The 21,235-nt window shown below is 36.2% G+C and overlaps 1 protein-coding gene across 8 annotated transcripts in view; it reads left to right on the forward strand.

Annotated features, from left to right (window-relative positions):
* BCAS3 (BCAS3 microtubule associated cell migration factor) overlaps window positions 1-21,235 on the forward strand; it is a 714,981-nt gene that overhangs the window by 65,429 nt on the left and 628,317 nt on the right. For all 8 annotated transcript variants that reach the window (NM_001353144.2, NM_001353145.2, NM_001330413.2 and 5 more), the window contains exon 6: window positions 3,919-4,000. In NM_001353144.2, the coding sequence (NP_001340073.1) occupies window positions 3,919-4,000 (82 nt within the window). The remainder of the gene's footprint in view (window positions 1-3,918; window positions 4,001-21,235) is intronic.

Raw genomic sequence — 21,235 nt, forward strand, 5'->3', positions numbered from 1 at the left:
AGATGAACAAGTAGAACTTAAAGTAATAGAAATCAGGATTGTAGTTATGGCCACTCTTGAGTTGGGATTATGACTGAAAAGAGATGTAGCAGGACCTTCTGAGTATCCATAATATTCTGTTTCTTGATGTCTTTTGGTTCAGAGGTACGTTAACATTTAAAATTCATGTTATACATATACTTAGGATGTATGTATTTTTTCTGTGTTTGTTACCTCTTGATAAAGTTTGCTAAAAAAAAAAAAAATCATTTGTGGACCACAAACATCCATTTAACCAGTATCTATAGGGGAAAGTGGGGTTGTGAATGTGTACTCTTGTCCTAATAATGCAGCATTATAAAGCAGTATTTTTATTGTCTTTTGGTATTTGAATTTTCTATATTATAATTGGTCTATGAAAAGTCATCAGAAGTTTAGAAATAAGTTTGATTCTGAGGGCAAGATAACCTTCATTTGCTTTCAGAATTCTCTAAAAGCACTTCTACAGCTCTCCCAGAACTTGTGTAGCCTTTTCTGTGTGTATATTATTGTCTTAGCTGTTGTAATTTCCTTTTGCCTTAGATCGAGTTGTGAGATTCTAAACTTGTACTACCCCCACCCCTTTTTTGGTTTGGTATGTAATTTGCATATTTTCACCATGCGAAAGCTATTTTCTATGGTTGGAAAAGATTTTTTTTCCTACAGTGTGAACAAATCATTCTTTGTTCTCCTTATTGTGCCTCCAAACTGGTACGTCCGGTTTATGCCCCAAACAACAAAAGTCTGTCATCAGAAATTAAAATGCCAGTAAGAACAAAGGCAGAGACCATGAGGAGCTGTTGGAGAGGCTTTCTCCCTGTTCGCTCTTCTCCCCAAGTTACCACAGTTGCCAGGAAGTTGGAATACTGCTTGGACTCTCTTTCCTTGTAGTTCTACTCTTGTATTTATTGCTATTGTTGGTTTAAAAGTGAACTTACAGTTTAGTATACTTCTTTTCAGGATCTAGAAAATCCTTATCTCTGCCATTTTTAATGAGCTCTTTTCTTAAAACCTAAAAAATCACTCTTGACAGCCTTATAAAAAATCAGTTTTGGCACTTATTTGAAGGCAAAATTATCAGTGGACATAATGTATAAAATTATTATTCAGAAAGATAGCTAAAGCAGAATCTGTAAAGACTAACCATCCTCTGTGTGTCCTTTCTAAAACGTATGGATCATATCTGTATAAACCTTAACTCTGTTTCTGTTCTGAAATGGTACTCTAATGTAGAATTCCCACAGACTATTTGGAGAGTTCTCTCCTCGAGGAAGTTTGACATTTTGTGACTCACATAGGATAGTTTAGAATTATGCTTCTAATTTCAGTAGGTTGTACAATCCTGATTTTAATATATTCAGAAATATCTATAAATGTGACACAATGTTTCCTCTGCTCCCCCCAACCCCCACCCCCGAGTTATAATTAAACACAGATCCTAGGACCATAGAGGTAATGAAGAATGGACAGTGAATGTGGGGATGCATTTTAAAATCAGTCCAAATGTTTTTTTCCTCCCCTCACCCATTGCCTTATGTGTAAGGAGGGATTTAAGATACAAGCTTAGAATAGGGCATTTAGGTTTGTTTTGAAAGCTGTTTTGCTGAAAAGTGTTGTATATTCAGGTTTCAAAATGTTTTTTGATGTCAGAATAAGCTCTTGTGTATTAAATACAATGATAGCAAACTTTTATATTGTGAGTATGCTAAGACAGATTTGTTTTATTCTTTTTTTTTGAATAATTGAGTACAGCAGCTCATTTAAATATGGTTACACTTCTTTAACATAAAGGTTTTATTTGATAGGACCAAAAGCTAAATACTAGAACTGGCATATGCAAATAATAGTACAGAGTGGTGGATTTTGTTTTAGAATACTATAATTTATTATAAGTGTAAAGTGAGAAGTATTTTTCATTACTTGAAATATAATTTCAATGTAAGTTCTATGGTATTATTTTAAAATATATTTTTTATTTTATTAATAGAAATAGCAGGTATATTGGGTAACACTTATCTGTTACAATAATTTATTTTTAAAATGTAAATGGCTTGGCAGTGTTTTTATTCTTTTGGCTATTGTTAAAATTTTAAAAGGTAGGTGGAAATAGCCAATAACACATCTGTAATATAATTAGATTACATTAGTGTTACACCTTTTAGCATATATATGCTTAAAATAAAAAAGACTGTAATTTTTAGATTTCAGAGAATGTACGATACTACATTGCAGGGGAAGTTGAACAAATAACCTTTGAAGACTTTTTCTAAATTTTAAATTTTGTTCTATAATAATAAAATGTGGACTATAATGGCCATGGTTTTTATTCTGAAAATTAAAAGTTACAAAGGAATTTGTAGAGTAAATAAGTTCTTATAGTTTGGAATAATGAGTTTATAGCTTTTACGTGTTTCATTGGTGATAGGTGGTGCTATTGTTGCACAGTTAGTCCTAGCATTCTTCACATCTGCATCCCAAGTGCTACAGAAGGATTTCTTGCTAATAAATAATTTGTAGTAATTATCATAAGCAAAATGAATGTGATAGTCATTTAGGCGTTATCACAACTTAACATTTTAAGAAACAAAAATATTTGTAGTTTGCAGCTCTTAAATTCAGATAGAAGCTGAAAATCTAAAAAAGTAGTTACTCTAAAAGAGAGCTCTGTAGATTTATAGTAATATTGTAAGATTTATACACTTCTAATTTTATCATGTATACATCTTTGATATTTTAAACTGCTTGTATGGCAGGCAGTTATTTAAAAAAATACCATCAGTATGTTTCCTCTATTGAATTTATATCTTTATTACATTGGTTGTAAGTTCTTTTGTATCTTGAACTAGTTTTATAATGTTTGCCATTTTCTCTGATAGTGCATATTTCATCAAACACTAGGCAATTATGAAAATGGTTTAAGAACTACAGTACCACGTACAGTAATTTAATCTGTCCATTCCCCTTCCCCACCTCCTCCAAAGATAAACTCGTAGTTCTGTCAGTTGAGATGGAAATAAGAAAGCTATTCTTAACTATAATTTAATCTGCTCAGTGCTTCAATGAGCAGTTTGAAAAGCAGTTGTTTTCACACTCAACACATATTACCATGCCTCTTTACCTTTTGTTCTTCTTTTAAAAAAATTTTTATCCCCCACAAAATGTCCTGAACATACCCTTTACCTTTTGAATTAATAGAATGAATGACTGAAAGTGCTTGGATATTCATAATGTTTGAGCTATGTGTATATTTATGTGTATAATAAAAATGATGACTTTTAAAAGTTGTATATATATATAGAATTTTTTGTTCATAGAATATTGAAATTAGAAGTATCCTGGCAGCTTTTTTTAGCAGCTTTTCCTTTTCGTTTTATGATTGTGAAAGAATATAGGCTTATTGAGGTTACATGATTTACTCAAGGTTAACAGACAATTAGTTGCCTAACCATAAGTATACCTAAGTTATTCACATTTCACCTACGTGTTCTTTGCAATAAGTATTGCTTTTTCTCATTTACAACATATTTGTTAAAGTTGCTATAATATTTAAGGTGAGATTTTCAGAGTAGTATTACAGTTGTTTTGTTCTCAAAGAAGGCAGTTGTGCAGGAACTGTACAGATTTCTAATGGTTTAATAAGATAAAAATTATAGACTTCCAGAACAGACCCTTTTTTTCTGTTCATATCAAGTGTGTGCTCTTACAGTTTTCTAAAATTACTTGCAGTAATTTAAGATATGAATATACTTAACATGTATGACCAATGATAAATGGGTGTGGGTGTATGTATATATATTTCAGACAAAATATTGTTATAAAATTTAGAAGATCTTGTTTTTATATAATACTGTTGTGACCTTCATTTTCCCACTGAAATATTTTCTTTCTTCTCTTATGCAGATCAGTGGTGAAGCACAAGAGCTCTTCTCTGTTCGACATGGCCCAATTCGAGCGGCTAGAATCTTGCCTGCTCCACAGTTTGGTGAGTGTAGTCCTTAAGAAAAGAATCTTTCAGAAAAGAGTTTCTCTTTTGTTGGTCTTGGACTACAGGCAGCAAGAATGATAACTAAAGTCTGTTTTCCTCCAAGTGTCCATTCCCCTTCCCCACCTCCCCCAAAGATAAACTTAGTTCTGTCAGTTGAGATGGAAATAGGTAATCTTAACCAATTCAATATGGCCATTCACTTTCTGCTGTGGTTTTGATTTATCTTCATCCTCTTTGATCTCGATTTAGCCTCTGCCTTTGCTGGCTCTTTCTTGAAGCCCTTTTTCTCTCTTGGTTTTCATGGCATCCTTCTTCCCAGATCCCTTCCTGGCTGACTGTGCCGCCTTTGTTATGTTTCTGGCTTAGCTTTCTTCTGTGGGTATTCCTCAAGTCTCTATTGTTCTCATGCCTTTGCCCTCCTTCTCAGTTATACTTATGCCATGGAGAGCTTGGTTTTCACTTTTCTCTGGGCTGTAGATGACTCTACTGTCTGCATCTACAGCTATGTCAGAAGTGGAGTTTTGGGCTTTTAAGCTTGCAATTCTGCTTTAATAGAGAATACTTCTTAATGTTGTGTTTAAATAATATATATGTTTTATATTTATTTAAAAAATTCAAATATGTGTTTGTATTAAACTTGCTGTTTAGATGGCTAAATAACGCCTGACTCCTTAATACTTTGAGTTTTCCAAAGGTGTTATTCTCTCATTACCTTTCCTGTGTTCACTCAAGCATGTTTTTGCATGTACAGTGAAAACATAATCATAATAATCATGTTTGGATACTTTAAAATCTTCTTAAAAAGAGGATATTAAAATATTTTAATTCTATTATATTTTAAAAAGTTACCAGAAGTGAAAAAAATCTTATAAGACTTCTTGTAGCAGCTAATCCTCTAAATTTGTGAGAAAGATGTTTTTGAAAACTTATGACATTGTGATTGTGTGTAAATAATTTAGGGATTAATTTAGCAACTAAATCTGCCTAAATGAAATGAGGAGGGTGGAGGAAACAAGCAACAGTATCTTGCAGTCACATGTAGATTTTCTCCCTTGCTATTCAACTCTATGGCATATTCTGATTTCAGCTCTTTAGCTGTCTCTCTGTTTCTTTCTCACACAATTGATTGTGCTGTCTCTCGCTCTCTCATGCTCTGTCACTCTCTCTCTTGTTCTGTTTTTTGTTGCATTTGTACTTTGGTGAAATATTTTGATAATGAAGATTCTAGACCGTCCTTTTCTAGAAGGGTTTTGGAATAGCCAGCTTTCTCTTTGGATGGCTGGAATCAAGGAGGACTTTATTACTAAAGGGCTCTGCTGTTTCTCTGTGTGTAATTCACAGACGCAGATTTTTCCCTCTTCATGTTATTTATGAAGTTATTTTGTTTATGTGTATTATCAATGTTCATCTTTTCTCAACTTTTAAGGCAGAAATATGTCTTGAAAATATCTAATTAATATTGCTAATATTTTATTTAGAAGTAGATTTAATTTACTTTCCTCTTAAAAAAAGATTCCTTCCTTCACTATAATGTATTTATTTAAAAACATATTGTTAGATTTAAAATGTAATTTTATATGGGTAAGTTTTCTGTTATGATTTGAACAAATTACTTGTGTAGCTTTTATTGTATTTGATTAATTTTTTAGATTTTTAAAAAAGACTAGTCGAGTGCAGTAGTGAGAAGGGGGGAAAAAGTAGAACAAGGAGTTCCATCAGTAACTGACTGTAAACAATCAAGAACTCACTACCTTCGGAGCAGCCTTTTAGATTTTTTTCCCCCAAAGTTATACGTGCAAATGATCACATAAAACTTGTAATGGAAAAGAGTAATACCCACTTTTCTCTTTTACCCATTTTGCTTTAATTCGTTATGGTGGAATATGTAGCTTTCTGAAAAAGGATGTGTGGGAGATATTGTCTGTCTTTATTCTTCCTTCACTCTTGATTGATTGTTTGGCTGGATAACAAATACGTGTTTATAAGAATGTTACTTCAGAATTTCGAAGGCATTGGTGTAACATTATGTTGAAGAGTCTGAGGCCATTTTGATACCTTTTTCTTTGTGGCTTGTTTTACTTTCTGGAAATCCATACAATGTTGGCTTTGTTCCCAATGTTCTGAGACTTTGCAGCTTTGTGTCTTGATTCACACATTTTCCTGGACCGTTTTAATTTGGAAATGCAAGTCTGGTATTTTGATGAAATGGCTTCAATTTTTGTTGTTGATTTCTTCCATTGAGTTTTCATTGTTCACTCTTTCTATAACTTGTATTATCTGGGTGTTAAATCCCTTGTACTGGTTAATTTTTTAAAATTAATTTCTTTCTTATTCTTTTTTTGAGATAGTTCCAGTGTGGCTTACTATTACTTCTATTGAACAATTATTTTCTGCTGTTATGTTTTTCTTATCCTATACTTCTCATATCTAATACCCTCCTCCCTTCTTTCTTCTTTCCCTCCCTTTCTTCTTTCTTGGTATACTTTACATACAAATAAGTAGCAAATAGAATCCAATGACATATAAAAAGAATTATACATCAGGACAAAGTAAGATTTATTCCAGGAATACAATGTTGGCTAACATTTGAAAATTAATCAATGGGATGGGCACGGTGGTTCATGCCTGTAATCCCAGCACTTTGGGAGGCTGAGGCAGGTGGATCATGAGGTCAGGAGTTCGAGACCAGAGTGGCCAACATAGTGAAACCTCGTCTCTACTAAAAATACAAAAAATTAGCCGAGCATGGTGGCCAGTGCCTGTTATTCCAGCTACTCGGGAGGGTGAAGCAGGAGAATTGTTTGAACTTGGGAGGCAGAGGTTGCAGTGAGCCGAGGTAGCACCATTGCATTCCAGTCAGGGTGACAGTGTGAGACTCCATCTCAAAAAAAAAAAAGAAAATTAATCCATGTAATTTACTGTATTAGAGTGAAGAAGAAAACCTGTATGATCATCTCAATAGAAGTAGAAGAAAACTTTGCCAAATCTCAGTAGCCATTTATGATTTAAAAAAGAAAAGTTTTAGCAAACTAGGAATAGAAAAAAAATTTTCTGAATATGATAAAAGTTATCTGCTTTAAAAATGTATACCAAGCATCATACTCAGTGTTGATATATTGAATGCTTTCCTGCTGAGTTCAGGATGACTTCTGTCACCACTTCTATTTATTGTAGTTCCTAGCCATTACAATAAGGCAAGAAAAAAAAATAAAAGACATAAAGATTAGAAAGAAGGATATGAAAGTGTCGTTATTCATCGATAACATGATTGTGTACATAGAAAATGCAATAGAACCAACAAATAGTTAGAATTAATCAGTGAATTTAGCAGTGCTGCTGCATAGAAGGTTCTGTAAATCTTTTGTGAACTGAATCCCTTCCTGTGCATTTTTCCAGCATCACATTCTGCCATCCTTACCCTGTCCCCCTCACTAGTCATCACAACAACATTCCCTTGTGATAGTTGTACTGAATTTCTTTTATTTCCTCAAAAGACCCATCTTCCTGCTTTCAGGTCTGCTTTTGTTATTTCCTCTTCTAGAATACTTATGTCCTTCTAACCCTTCTTGTTCCTTATCCACTGTCAGTAGTGCATGCTCCCATAGGACTTAATGTTCTTTAATTGTTCATTTGCCTCTTGTTTGCTACATTTGCAGGCTGTTTTTATGTATTCAGTGTCTCACAGAGTGCTTTATACAAGGTATTAATAAATATTTGTTGAATGTTGCTGGATTGTATAATACTTTGCAATTTAAGACGTGGAAGAAAAAGTGAATCCCCTTTCTAAAGGTATTTCTGTAGAAAGCCTGTCCCCTAACTAAAAGTGAGAAACTGAAGGATTTGGATGTCTTCATATCCCACAGAAGACCATCATTGTATTTAATGGGCATTTACTCATGTCAACACAGCTTATGCATCCCTGCTTCTTCATGGCCACTATCAATAATAATTGATTATTTTCTTAATGAACCTAGATCTGCTTTAGGATTTTTTTCAATACAATATTCCAGAAAGCTATGACTAATTAATTGGTATTATCTCAGATAAAAACTGTTACTAATTATCTTTCAAATCTGTCCTTCCAGAACTTAATTCCAAGTAATAAATTTTTCTTATTCATTACTTTAAGTAGCCATTTTGGCTTTTAGTACCTCACTTTTGTAATAAAATGTATCAGTATGTATATTTTAATATACAAGTAAAAAAGAGACTTTCACTTCCTTTAATATGTTTTTAATTTGTTTCTTTTTTTTCTTTTTCTTTTTTTTTTTTTTTTTGAGATGGAGTTTCACTCTTGTTGCCCAGGCTGGAGTGCAATGGTGCAATCTAGGCTCACCACAACCTCCATCTTCTGGGTTTAAGCGATTCTCCTGCCTCAGCCTCCCGAGTAGCTGGGATTATAGGCATGTGCCACCACACCCGACTAGTTTTTGTAATTTTAGTAGAGACAGGGTTTCTCCATATTTGTCAGGCTGGTCTCGAACTCCTGACCTCAGGTGATCCACCTGCCTCGGCCTTCCAAAGTGCTGGGATTACAGGTGTGAGCCACTGCGCCCAGACTGTTTTTAATTTCTTAAAGTAAGGACCATGTAATTCTAACCACTGAAAATATTGATTATTAAAAAAATCAAGTAATACTCAAATGTGGGAAATGAAAATTTATGTGAGTCTGTGTTAGCAAAGGTAAATCTGACTGCTTCTTCCTTTTCATCCTTCCTCAGATATTGAGCATTGTACCAAAGGCCCATATTAACAGCATATATTTCTAGTTTTTTTCCCCTTAACTATTCACACATGCATAACACTAACTTATATTATTATGTCCCAGGACTGATTCAGTTTGTTTATATGTATTACATGTATTGGCTGAAGGGTGTGTGTGTGTGTGTGTGTGTGTGTGTGTGTAAGTGTAATATTTTTCATAACGATTTATAGTGAACATTGTTTTATTTCAGAACTTAGGTATTTATTTTATTATTGCTAAAAATTATGTAACATTGTATTGTATGGGTATTTATATTGTTTTTTCCCAGTTGGTTATGTTGTTATATACTTCCGTATATGTACATTTAAAAAAGTATACAAGGAATTTTTTTTTAAGGGTAACTCCTAATGGGGAATTGCTCACATGTGTATTTCATTTTTTTTTTTCTTTTTTTGAGACAGAGTCTCACTCTGTCGCCCAGGCTGGAGTGCAGTGGCGCGATCTTGGCTCACTGCAAGCTCCGTCTGCTAGGTTCATGCCATTCTCCTGCCTCAGCCTCCCGAGTAGCTGAGACTACAGGCGCCCTCCACCATGCCTGGCTAATTTTTTGTATTTTTAGTAGAGACGGGGTTTCACCATGTTAGCCAGGATGGTCTTGATCTCCTGACTGCGTGATCCGCCTGCCTCGGCCTTGTGTATTTCAATTTTGATGCATGCTGTAAAATTTCCTCTTAGAGAGAGTCTACCAACATTTATACATGAGAATCCCATTTCTCCTTATTCTGTCCTATACTGGTTATTATGAATCTTTTCAATCTTTGCCTGTCTGGATGGCAGAAAATCCTATTCATATGTAACTTGAAAGTGTTTATTTTTAGAGACAGTCTCACTTTGTGGCCCAGGCTGGGATGCAGTGGTGTGATCCTAGCTCACTGAAGCCTCAAACTCCTAGGCTCAAGCAATCTTCCCACCACAGCCTCCTGAATACCTAGGACTACAGGCACACGTCAGCATGCCTGGCTAATTTTTAAATTTTTTGTAGAGTGAGGTCTTGCCATGTTGCCCAGGCTAGTCTTGAACCCCTGGCCTCAAACAATTCTCCCATCTCAGCCTCCCAGTGCTGGGATTACAGATGTGACCCATTGTACCCATATGTAATTTTTTGATCCTTGATTACTAGGGAAGATAGAAAATCCTCATATTTTTGCTATTTATATTCATTAATATCACACTTGTTTATATTCTTTCTCATTGATTTGAGCCCTTTACTAGGTTATTATTAATCTTTAGTTTCATACTAAGAAAATCCTTCTGTATTTTATTATGCCTAACTTTAAATCATGACTTTTCTTGAAAGTTTAATTAAAATTTTATTTTGTTGTTATTTGTCTCTTATTTTATTTATTTATTTATTTATTTATTTATTTATTTATTTATTTAGAGACGGAGTCTTGCTCTGTCACCCAGGCTGGAGTGCAGTGGCTCGACCTCCACTCACTGCAAGCTCTGCCTCCCGGGTTCCCGCCATTCTCCTGCCTCAACCTCCCGAGTAGCTGGGACTACAGGCGCCTGCCACCACGCCCATCTAATTTTTTGTATTTTTAGTAGGGACGGGGCTTCACCATGTTAGCCAGGATGGTCTCGATCACCTGACCTCGTGATCTGCCTGCCTCGGCCTCCCAAAGTGCTGGGATTAGAGGCATGAGCCACCACGCTCTGCCGCGTCTTCTTATTTTATTACATTTTCCATATTGTTGATGGTCAGGAAGTAGTTCTTCCTTGCCAGTCTCTGATTTTCATAGATTTTGGACAAAATTTCTGTTTTATTATGGAATTTCTGTTACTATAATCTTAGCTTTTTGGAATGATGGGAACTGTGTTTTTCTAATATTTGCATTCTATGCAGTGACTTGCATAATAATAATATGTACCATATGAGGGGTACCACATAATGAATTTATTCAATATTTTGTAGACAATAATCTAGAATGCTACTTTGTATAAAGTGTTGTTTATAAATTATCAGTGATCAAATGATGTGTTTTATTTTATTTATTTTATTTTGAGACAGGGTCTCTCTCTCTCTTGCCCATGCTGGAGTGCAGTGGCACAATCATGGCTCACTGCAGCCTTGACCTCCTGGGCTCAAGTGATCCTCCTGCCTTGGCCTCCCAAAGTGCTGGGATTACAGTGTGAGCCGCCATACCTGACTTCTTTTTTTCTTTTTTCTTTCTCTGGGATAGAATTTTGCTCTGTCACCCAAGCTAGAGAACAGTGACGCAATCATGGCTCATTGCAGTCTTGACCTCCTGGGCCCAAGTGATCCCCCTTCCTCAACCTCCAAGTAGCTGAGACCACAGGCGTGTGCCACCATACCTGGCTAATTACGGAGTCTTGCTCTGTCACCCAGGCTGGAGTGCAATGGCGTGGTCGGAGATGGGGTCCCACTGTGATGCACAGGCTGGTCTTGAACCACTGGCCTCAGGTGATCCTCCTGCCTCGGCTTCCCAAAGTACAAGGACTACAGGTGTAATCCTCCGTGCCTGGCCTGATGTTTTTTACATTAATAGAGCTTATAACTCATAAGAATTATGTTAGTCTGGTGTATATTCTGTTTCCTTCCTGCTCCTGGAGAAAGACAATCATTTTGGCCTTGAATAATTTCTTAGAAATGCAGATGTAAAATTTAAAATACACACACACACACACACACACACACACACACACACACACACACACACACACACACACACAGAGTCTGTTCAGCCGAAACACTAGCAAGCCTCTAAAAGTAGGCCAACTGACATTTGTTGATATTCCTCACCAGTCTATTGCAAAGATGAGGAAACAGGCTTATTGACATTTTAAATGGCTAAACTATGAGATTTAGGGCTTCTCTAATGTTTTCCGCTCTAATTACTGCTCAGTTTGCCTTGTGTATTTTTAAAAATAACACCTAGTCTTTATTATTGAGGTCTTACTACTTGTGATCATTTAGGTTTTTGCAATATTTTGCTAAGCCTGTGATGTGATTCAGGTAAATTGTAACTTGAGAACATATGTTGTATTCATCTTAAATTTCTTTAATGATTTGGGTCAGAGAACAGTGTTTCTAGGGGAGAATGTCTGGTTTAGAGGTGCTGCTTTTTCAGTTTGATGATTTCATGGTTTTAGGTATAGGAAATTGATTTCAGAGGATTCTCAGTTTATACCTAGCTGAACCCTGTTATTAGGGCGTTTTTCTATAAGAGGTATAGAGAGAAATGTACTGAACACAAAAGAGAGGTGAATTAAGTGAACTATATAATGCTTGATACTCTTCAGATAACATTTTAGGTTGTTTGTATACATTATTACCACTTTTCCACTATTCTTCAGGGTGAGTACCATTATCCTAATTCACAGGTGAGGAGACTTAATGCTCAAAGAAATTGACGGTTGGTAAATGGTGAAACTGAAACTTGTAATATCAATTATTATTTGGTTATATAGCACATAATATAAAAAAGAAGTACTTCAAAACCCTGTTCCCTGAAGATACTCTCTGTTAATCTCTTGTTTTATATCATTTAAGCCTCTTTATACACACACTCCATGTACATGATGTGTTTTAAAAATTGGGATTACTATGTAATGTATTTTGTAGCTTTTTATTAATTTAACATTATTAGTTGAGCATTTTCCTGATATTAGATATTCTTCTTTTCAATATGCTTTTCAATAGCTGCATAAATTTTCATCATGTGGATTTATGATTACTTATTTAAGCAACCTTAACATTTGTTTTCATTTTTCTCCTGTTTTTTCAATTTTTAATTTTAAAAATTGATACAAATATTTTACATGTTATGCGGTACTTGTGAATATTTCTTACGTGCATAGAATGTGTAATGATCAGGTTAGGGTATTTTAGGTATCCATCACCTGAAGTATTTATCATTTCTATGTGCTGGTAACATTTCAAGTTCTCTCTTGTAGCTACTTTGAAATATATAATACATTGTTGCTAACTATAGTCATCCTACTCTGCTATTGAATATTGAGGCTTACTTGTTCTAACTTAGTGGCCCCAACCTTTTTGACATCAGGGACCTGTTTTGTGGAAGCCAGTTTTTCCATGGATGGGGGGCGTGGTGGGGGATTATTTCAGGATGAAACTGTTCCACCTCAGATCATCAGGCATTAGTTAGATTCTCATAAGGAGTGCACAACTTAGATCCCCTACATGCAGAGTTCATAATGGGGTTGGTGCTCCTGTGAGAATCTAATGCCACCACTTACCTAACAGGAGGTGGAGCACAGACAGTAATGCTTGCTCTCCTAATGCTCACCCACAGGCCATGAACTGGTACCAGTCTGCGGCCCAGGAGTTGGGGACCCCTGTTCTAACTGTGTGTTTGTACCCATTAACCAACCTCTCTTTATCCACCCCCCTTCCATCCACACATTCTTCCCAGGCTCTGGTATGTATCATCCTATTCTCTGTCTCCATGAGATCAGTTTCTTTAGCTTCCACATATGAGTGAGAACATGTGACATCTGAATTTCTGTGCCTGGCTTATTTGACCTAACATAATTAGCTCCAGTTCCATCCCTGTGCTGCAGTGACATGATTTTATTATTTTTTTATGGCCACATAATATTTCATTCTGTATATATACCACATTTTCTTTATTTATTCATCCATCAATGGGCACTTAGGTTGATTCCATATCTTTGCTGCTGTAAATAGTGCTGTGATAAACATGTGAGTGCAGGTTATACAGATTTCTTCTCCTTTGGATAAATACCAAGTAATGGGATTGCTGGATCATATGGTAGTTCTATTTTTAATTTTTTGATGAACCTCCATATTGTTTTCCACAGTGGTTATATCAGTTTACATTCCCACCAACAGCATGTAAGAGTTCCCTTCTTGGCCAGGCGCGGTGGCTCATGTCTGTAATCCCAGCGGATCACGAGGTCAAGAGATCAAGACCATCCTGGCCAACATGGTGTAACCCCGTTTCTACTAAAAATACAAAAATTAGCTGGGCGTGTTGGCGCGTGCCTGTAGTCGCAGCTACTCGGGAGGCTGAGGCAGCTGAATCCCTTGAACCCAGGAGGTGGTGGTTGCAATGAGCCGAGATCGCACCACTGCACTCCAGCCTAGTGACAGAGTGAGACTCTGTCTCAAGAAAAAAAAAAGGAGTTCCCTTCTAAATACAAAAATTAGCCACTTGGGGGGCTGAGGCAGGGAATTGCTTGAACCTAGGAGGCAGAGGTTGCAGTGAGCTGAGATCGCACCACTGCATTCCAGCCTGGGCGACAGAGCAAGACTCTGTCTCAAAAAAATAATAATAATAAATAAATAAATAAATAAATAAATAAATAAATGAGTTTCTCTGCATCCTTGCCAGCATGTATATGTGTGTGTGTGTGTGTGTGTGTGTGTGTGTGTGTGTGTGTGTTTTCTTTTAATGATAGCCATTCTAACTGGGGTAAGATGATATCTCATTGTGGTTTTTTTCTTGTATTTCCATGATGCTTAGTAATTTTGAGCATTTTTCCTGTATACGTATTGGCCATTAATATGTCTTCTTTTGATAAATGTCTATGTTGTTACCCCACATTTTAATGGGATTTTAAAAAATTGTTGAATTTTTTGAGTTCTTTGTATACTCTGGATATTAGTCCCTTATTGGATGAATAGTTTGCAAATATTTTCTTTCATTAAGCAAGTTGTCTGTTCACTCTGTTAATTGTTTCCTTTGCTGTATGGAAGCCTTTTAGTTTAATATAGTCCTACATGTATATTTTTGTTATAGTTGTCTGTGCTTTTGAGGTCTTAGTCATGAAGGTTTTGCCTAGACCTATGTCTTGAAGTGTTTTCCATATATATATATTTAGTAGTCTTACTGTTTTAGGTCTTAAATTTATGTCTTTAATCCATCTCGAGTTGATTTTTGTATATGGGGAGAGATAGGGGTTCAGTTTCATTTTATGCATATGGATATTGAATTTCCCCAGCACCATTTATTGAAGGTCTTTTCCCTTGTGTATATTCTTGGAGTCTTTATCAAAAATCAGTTGGTTATAAATACATGGATTTATTTCTAGACTCCTATTCTGTTCCATTGGTCTATGTGTCTGTTTTTATACCAATATCATGCTATTCTGGTTACTATAGCCTTGTAATATATTTTAAAGTCAGATAGTTTGATGGCTTCACCTTTTCTTTTGACTCAAAATTGCTCTATTTGGGCTCTTTTTTGATTCTATACACATTTGAGAATTGTTTTTTCTAATTATGTAAAAAATGACATTGGTATTTTGAGGTTTATTGATTTTGTTTATCTTTTTGAAGAACCAACTTTTTGTTTCATTGATACTTTGTATTGTTTTTTGAGTCTCTATTTTATTTAGTTTGCCCTGTTCTTTATTTTTTCTTTTATTCTGCTAATTTTGAGTTTGGTTTATTCTTGGCTCACTGCAGCCTCCGCCTTCCGGTTCAAACAGTTCTTCTGCCTCAGCCTCCCGAGTAGCTGGGATTACAGGCTCCCACCACCACTCCTGGCTAATTTTTGTATTTTTTGGTAGAGACGGAGTTTTGTCATGTTGGCCAGGCTGGTCTCAAACTCCTGACCTCAGGTAATTCACCTGCCTTGGCTTCCCAAAGTGCTGGGGTTACAGGCATGAGCCACCGCACCCGGCCGCTTTTCTAGTTTCTTGAGGTGTGTCATTAGGTTGCTTATTTGAAAGTTTTCTACTTTTTTGATGTGTTTATTGCTATAAACTTCTCTTTTAGCACTGCTTTAGCTGTATCCCATATGGTTTTGGTATGATGTGTTTCCATTTTAATTTGTTTCAAGAAATATTTTGATTTCTCTCATAATTTCTTCATTGACCCAGTGGTTGTTCAGGAGTATCCTATGTAATTTCCATGTATTTGTATAGTTTACAAAATTCATTTTGATGTTGATACTTAGTTTTATTCCACTGTAGTCTGAGAAGATTTTTTTTTTTTTTTTGGACACAGTCTCCCTCTTTTGCCTGGAGTGCAGTGGCACGATCTCGACTCACTGCAACCTCTGCCTCCCGGGTTCTATCGATTCTCCTGCCTTAGCCTCCTGAGTAGCTGGGACTACAGGCACATGCCACCACACCCAGCTAATTTTTGTATTTTTAGTAGAGATGGGGTTTTGCCATGTTGGCCAGGCTGGAAGATTTCAGTTTCTAAAAATTCGTTGAAACTTATTTAATGGCCTTATATAGTCTGTCATGGAGAATGTTCTATGTGTTGATAAGAATGTATAACCAGCCTGGCAACATAGCAAGTCCCCATCTCTGTAAAGAAAATTCGCAGAGTGTATATTCTGTAGTTGTTGGATAGAATGTTCTATACGTGCCTGTTAGGTCTGTTGGGTCTGAAGTCCAGTTTAAATCCAATGTTTCATTGTTGATTTTCTGTCTGAGTGATCTGTTTAATGCTGAGAGTGGGGAGTTGAAGCCCCCTACTGTTACTGTATTTCAGTTTATCTCTCCCTTTAGATCTACTAATATTCGCTTTATGAATCTGGATGATCCAGTGTTGGATGCATATGTATTTAGAATTGTTACATTCTCTTGCTGGATTGACTCCTTTATCATTACATAGTGACTTCTTTTTTTTTTTTTTTTTACTGTTTTTGTTTTGTTTCATTTTGTTTATTTTTACAGATAAGGTCTCACTGTGTCACCTGGGCTGAAGTGCAGAGGTGTGATTGTAGCTCACTGCCACCTTGAACTCCTAAGCTGAAGCAGTCCTTCCACCACAGCCTCCTGAGTAGCTGGGAGTACAGGTGTGCACCACCATGCCTGGCTAACTTTTAAAAAATACTGTAGAGATGAGGGTTTCTCTGTGTTGCCCAAGCTGGTCTTGAACTCCTGACTTAAAGTGGTTCTCCCACCTTAGCCTCCCAAAACACTGGGATTACAGGTGTGGCCACCATGCCAAGCCAAAATCTGTTTTATCTGATATCAGTATAGCTAGTGTTGCTCACATTTAGTTTCTATTTGGATGGAGTATCTTTTTTCCATCCCTTTACTTTGAGCCTATGTATGTCTGTAGGCAAAGTGCATTTCTTGTAGCCATCATACTTGTATCATGTTTCTTTTATACATTCAGCCAGTCCCTCTCTTTTAAGCAGATAATTTAATCAATTTACATTTAAGGTTATTAATGATGTGTGAGATTTTGTTACTGTCATATAATTTGTTTTCTGTTTGTTTTGCATATTCTTTGTTCCTTTCTCTCCCTTATTTGTGTGTTTGGTTTACCAGTGAGTTTTATATTTTTGTGCATTTTCATGATAGGGTATGTGTTATTCTTTTACTTTCATGTTTAGGACTCCTTTGAGCATCTCTTGTAGGCCTAGTCTAGTGGTGATGAATTCCCCCAGCTTTTGTTATCTTGGAAAGACTTTATTTCTCCTTCATTCATGAAGGATAATTTTGCTGGATATAGTATCCTTGGGTGACAGGTTTTTTTGTTTTTTTTTTTTTAAATTTTAGCACTTGCAATATGTCATTCAATTCTCTCCAGGCCTGTAGCTTTCTGCTGAGAAATCCGCTGTTGGCTTGATGGGAGCTCCTTTATAGGTGACTAAATGCTTTCACTTGCTACACCTTAATATTTTCTCTTTTGCTTGGCTATAGTTTGACTATAAAGTGCCGTGGAGGAAGACCTTTTTGCATTATATTTGGGGATTTTTGGACCTCTTATTTGTGAAAGTCTAGGTCTTTCTCTTGCTAGACTTGGGAAGTTTTCATCTAACATTTTGTTAAATAGGTTTTCTAACCCTTTCATTCTATCTTCATCCTTATGGATACCAGCATTTCAAATATTTGGTCACTTTTTGTTGTCCCAAATGCCACAAAGGCTTTGCTCATTCTTTTTCATCCTTTTTTCTTTATTTTTGCCTGACTGGATTATTTCAAAAGAACTGTCTTCAAGTTCTGAGATTCTTCCTTCTGCTTGATCTTATCTATTGTTGCTTTTGAATATATTTTGCATTTTATTCATATAATTCTTCTGTTCTAGAATTTCTGTTTTGTTCTTTTTAAAAATACTTATCTCTTTTGTAAATGTCTCAGTTATATCCTGAATTGTTTTTCTGATTTTTCTGTATTGTTTTTCAGAACTCTCTTGTATCTCATTGAGCTTCTTTAAAATCAGTATTTTGAATTATTTCTCTGGGATTTTATGAATTTTTTTATTATTATACTTTAAGTTCTAGGGTACATGTGCACAAAGTGCAGGTTTGTTGCATATGTATACATGTGCCGTGTTGGTTTGCTGCACCCATTAACTCGTCATTGACATTAGATATTTCTCCTAATGCTCTCCCGCCCCCATGCCCCCACTCCACGACAGGCCCCGGTGTATGCTGTTCCCTGCCCTGTGTCCAAGTGTTCTCATTGTTCCACCTATGAGTGAGAATATGCAGTGTTTGGTTTTCTGTCCTTGCAATAGTTTGCTCAGAATGATGGTTTCCAGCTTCATCCATGTCCCTGCAAAGGACATGAACTCATCATTTTTATGGCTGCATACTATTCCATGGTGTATATGTGCCACATTTTCTTAATCCAGTCTATCATTGATGGACATTTGGGTTGGTTCCATGTATTTGCTTTTGTGAGTAGTGCCGCAATAAACATACGTGTGCATGTGTCTTTATAGCAGCATGATTTATAATCCTTTGGGTATATACCCAGTAATGGGATTGCTGGGCTAAATGGTATTTCTAGTTCTAGATCCTTGAGGAATTGCCACACTGTCTTCCACAATGGTTGAACTAGTTTATGCTTCCACCAACAGTGTAAAAGTGTTCCTATTTCTCCACATCCTCTCCAGCACCTGTTGTTTCCTGACTTTTTAATGATTGCCATTCTAATTCGTGTGAGATGGTATCTCATTGTGGTTTTGATTTGCATTTCTCTGATGGCCAGTGATGATGAGCATTTTTTCACGTGTCTGTTGGCTGCATAAATGTCTTCTTTTGAGAAGGGTCTGTTCATATCCTTTGCCCGCTTTTGGATGGGGTTGTTTGATTTTTTTCTTGTAAACTTGTTTAAGTTCTTTGTAGGTTCTAGATATTAGCCCTTTGTCAGATTGCAAAAGTTTTCTCCCATTCTGTAGGTTGCCTGTTCACTCTGATGGTAGTTTCTTTTGCTGTGCATAAGCTCTTTAGTTTAATTAGGTCCCATTAGTCAATTTTGGCTTTTATTGCCATTGCTTTTGGTGTTTTAGTCATGAAGTCTTTTCCCACGTCTGTGTCCTGAATGGTAATGCCTAGGTTTTCTTCTAGGGTTTTTATGGTTTTAGGTCTAACATTTAAGTCTGTAATCCATCTTGAATTAATTTTTGTGTAAAGTGTAAGGAAGGGATCCAGTTTCAGCTTTCTACATATGGCTAGCCAGTTTTCCCAACACCATTTATTAAATAGGGAATCCTTTCCCCATTTCTTGTTTTTGTCAGGTTTGTCAAAGATCAGATGGTTGTAGATGTGTGTTGTTATTCTGAGGCCTCTGTTCTGTTCCTTTGGTCTATATCTCTGTTTTGGTACCAGTACTATGCTGTTTTGATTACTGTAGCCATGTAGTATAGTTTGAAGTCAGGTAGCGTGATGCCTCCAGCTTTGTTCTTTTTGCTTAGGATTGTCTTGGCAATGCGGGCTCTTTTTTGATTCCATATGAACTTTAAAGTAGTTTTTTCCAATTCTGTAAAGAAAGTCATTGGTAGCTTGATGGGGATGGCATTGAATCTGTAAATTACCTTGGTCGGTATGGCCATTTTCACGATATTGATTCTTCCTATCCATGAGCATGGAATGTTCTTCCATTTGTTTGTATCCTCTTTTATTCCGTTGAGCAGTGGTTTGTAGTTCTTCTTGAAGAGGTCCTTCACGTCCCTTGTTAGTTGGATTCCTAGGTATTTTATTCTCTTTGTAGCAGTTGTGAATGGGAGTTCACTCATGATTTGGCTGTTTATGTGTTACTGGTGTATAAGAATGCTTGTGATTTTTGCACATTGATTTTGTATCCTGAGACTTTGCTGAAGTTGCTTATCAGCTTAAGGAGATTTTGGGCTGAGACGATGGGGTTTTCTAAATATGCAATCATGTCATCTGCAAGCAGGGACAATTTGACTTCCTCTTTTCCTAATTGAATACCCTTTATTTCTTTCTCTTGCCTGATTGCCCTGGCCAGAACTTCCAACACTATGTTGAATAGGAGTGGTGAGAGAGGGCATCCCTGTCTTGTGCCAGTTTTCAAAGGGAATGCTTCCAGTTTTTGCCCATTCAGTATGATACTGGCTGTGGGTTTGTCTTAAATGGCTCTTATTATTTTGAGATACGTTCCATCATTACCTAGTTTATTGAGAGTTTTTAGCATGAAGTGCTGTCGAATTTTGTCGAAGGCCTTTTCTGCATCTATTGAGATAATCATGTGGTTTTTGTCTTTGGTTCTGTTTATGTGATGGATTATGTTTACTGATTTGTGTATGTTGAACCAGCCTTGCATCCCAGGGATGAAGCCAACTTGATCTTGGTGGATAAGCTTTTTGATGTGCTGCTGGATTCAGTTTGCCAGTATTTTATTGAGGATTTTCGCATCGATGTTCATCAGGGATATTGGTCTAAAATTCTCTTTTTTTGTTGTGTCTCTGCCAGGCTTTGGTATCAGGATGATGCTGGCCTCATAAAATGAGTTAGGGAGGGTTCCCTCTTTTTCTATGGATTGGAATAGCTTCAGAAGGAATGGTACCAGCTCCTCTCTGTACCTCTGGTAGAATTTGGCTGTGAAGCCATCTGGTCCTGGACTTTTTTTGGTTGGTAGGCTATTAATTATTGCCTCAATTTCAGAGCCTGTTATCGGTCTATTCAGAGATTCAACTTCTTCTTGGTTTAGTGTTGGGAGGGTGTATGTGTCCAGGAATTTATCCATTTTTTCTAGATTTTCTAGTTTATTTGCATAGAGGTGTTTATAGTATTCTCTGATGGTAGTTTGTATTTCTGTGGGATCGCTGGTGAGATCCCCTTTATCATTTTTTATTGCGTCTATTTGATTCTTCTCTCTTTTCTTCTTTATTAGTCTTGCTAGTCTATCAATTTTGTTATCTTTTCAAAAAACCAGATCCTGGATTCATTGATTTTTTTTTTTGAACTTTTTTGTGTCTCTATCTCCTTCAATTCTGCTCTGATCTTAGTTATTTCTTGCCTTCTGCTAGCTTTTGAATGTGTTTGCTCTTGCTTCTCTAGTTCTTTTAATTGTGATGTTAGGGTGTCAGTTTTAGATCTTTCCTCCTTTCTCTTGTGGGCATTTAGTGCTATAAATTTTCCTCTACACACTGCTTTAAATGTGTCCCAGAGATTCTTGTATGTTGTGTCTTTGTTCTCACTAGTTTCAAAGAACATCTTTATTTCTGCCTTCATTTAGTTATTTACCCAGTAGTCATTCAGGAGCAGGTTGTTCAGTTTCCATGTAGTTGTGCAGTTTTGAGTGAG

Source organism: Homo sapiens, chromosome 17 (genome assembly GCF_000001405.40).
Source record: "Homo sapiens chromosome 17, GRCh38.p14 Primary Assembly".
NCBI classification, from domain to species: domain Eukaryota; kingdom Metazoa; phylum Chordata; class Mammalia; order Primates; family Hominidae; genus Homo; species Homo sapiens.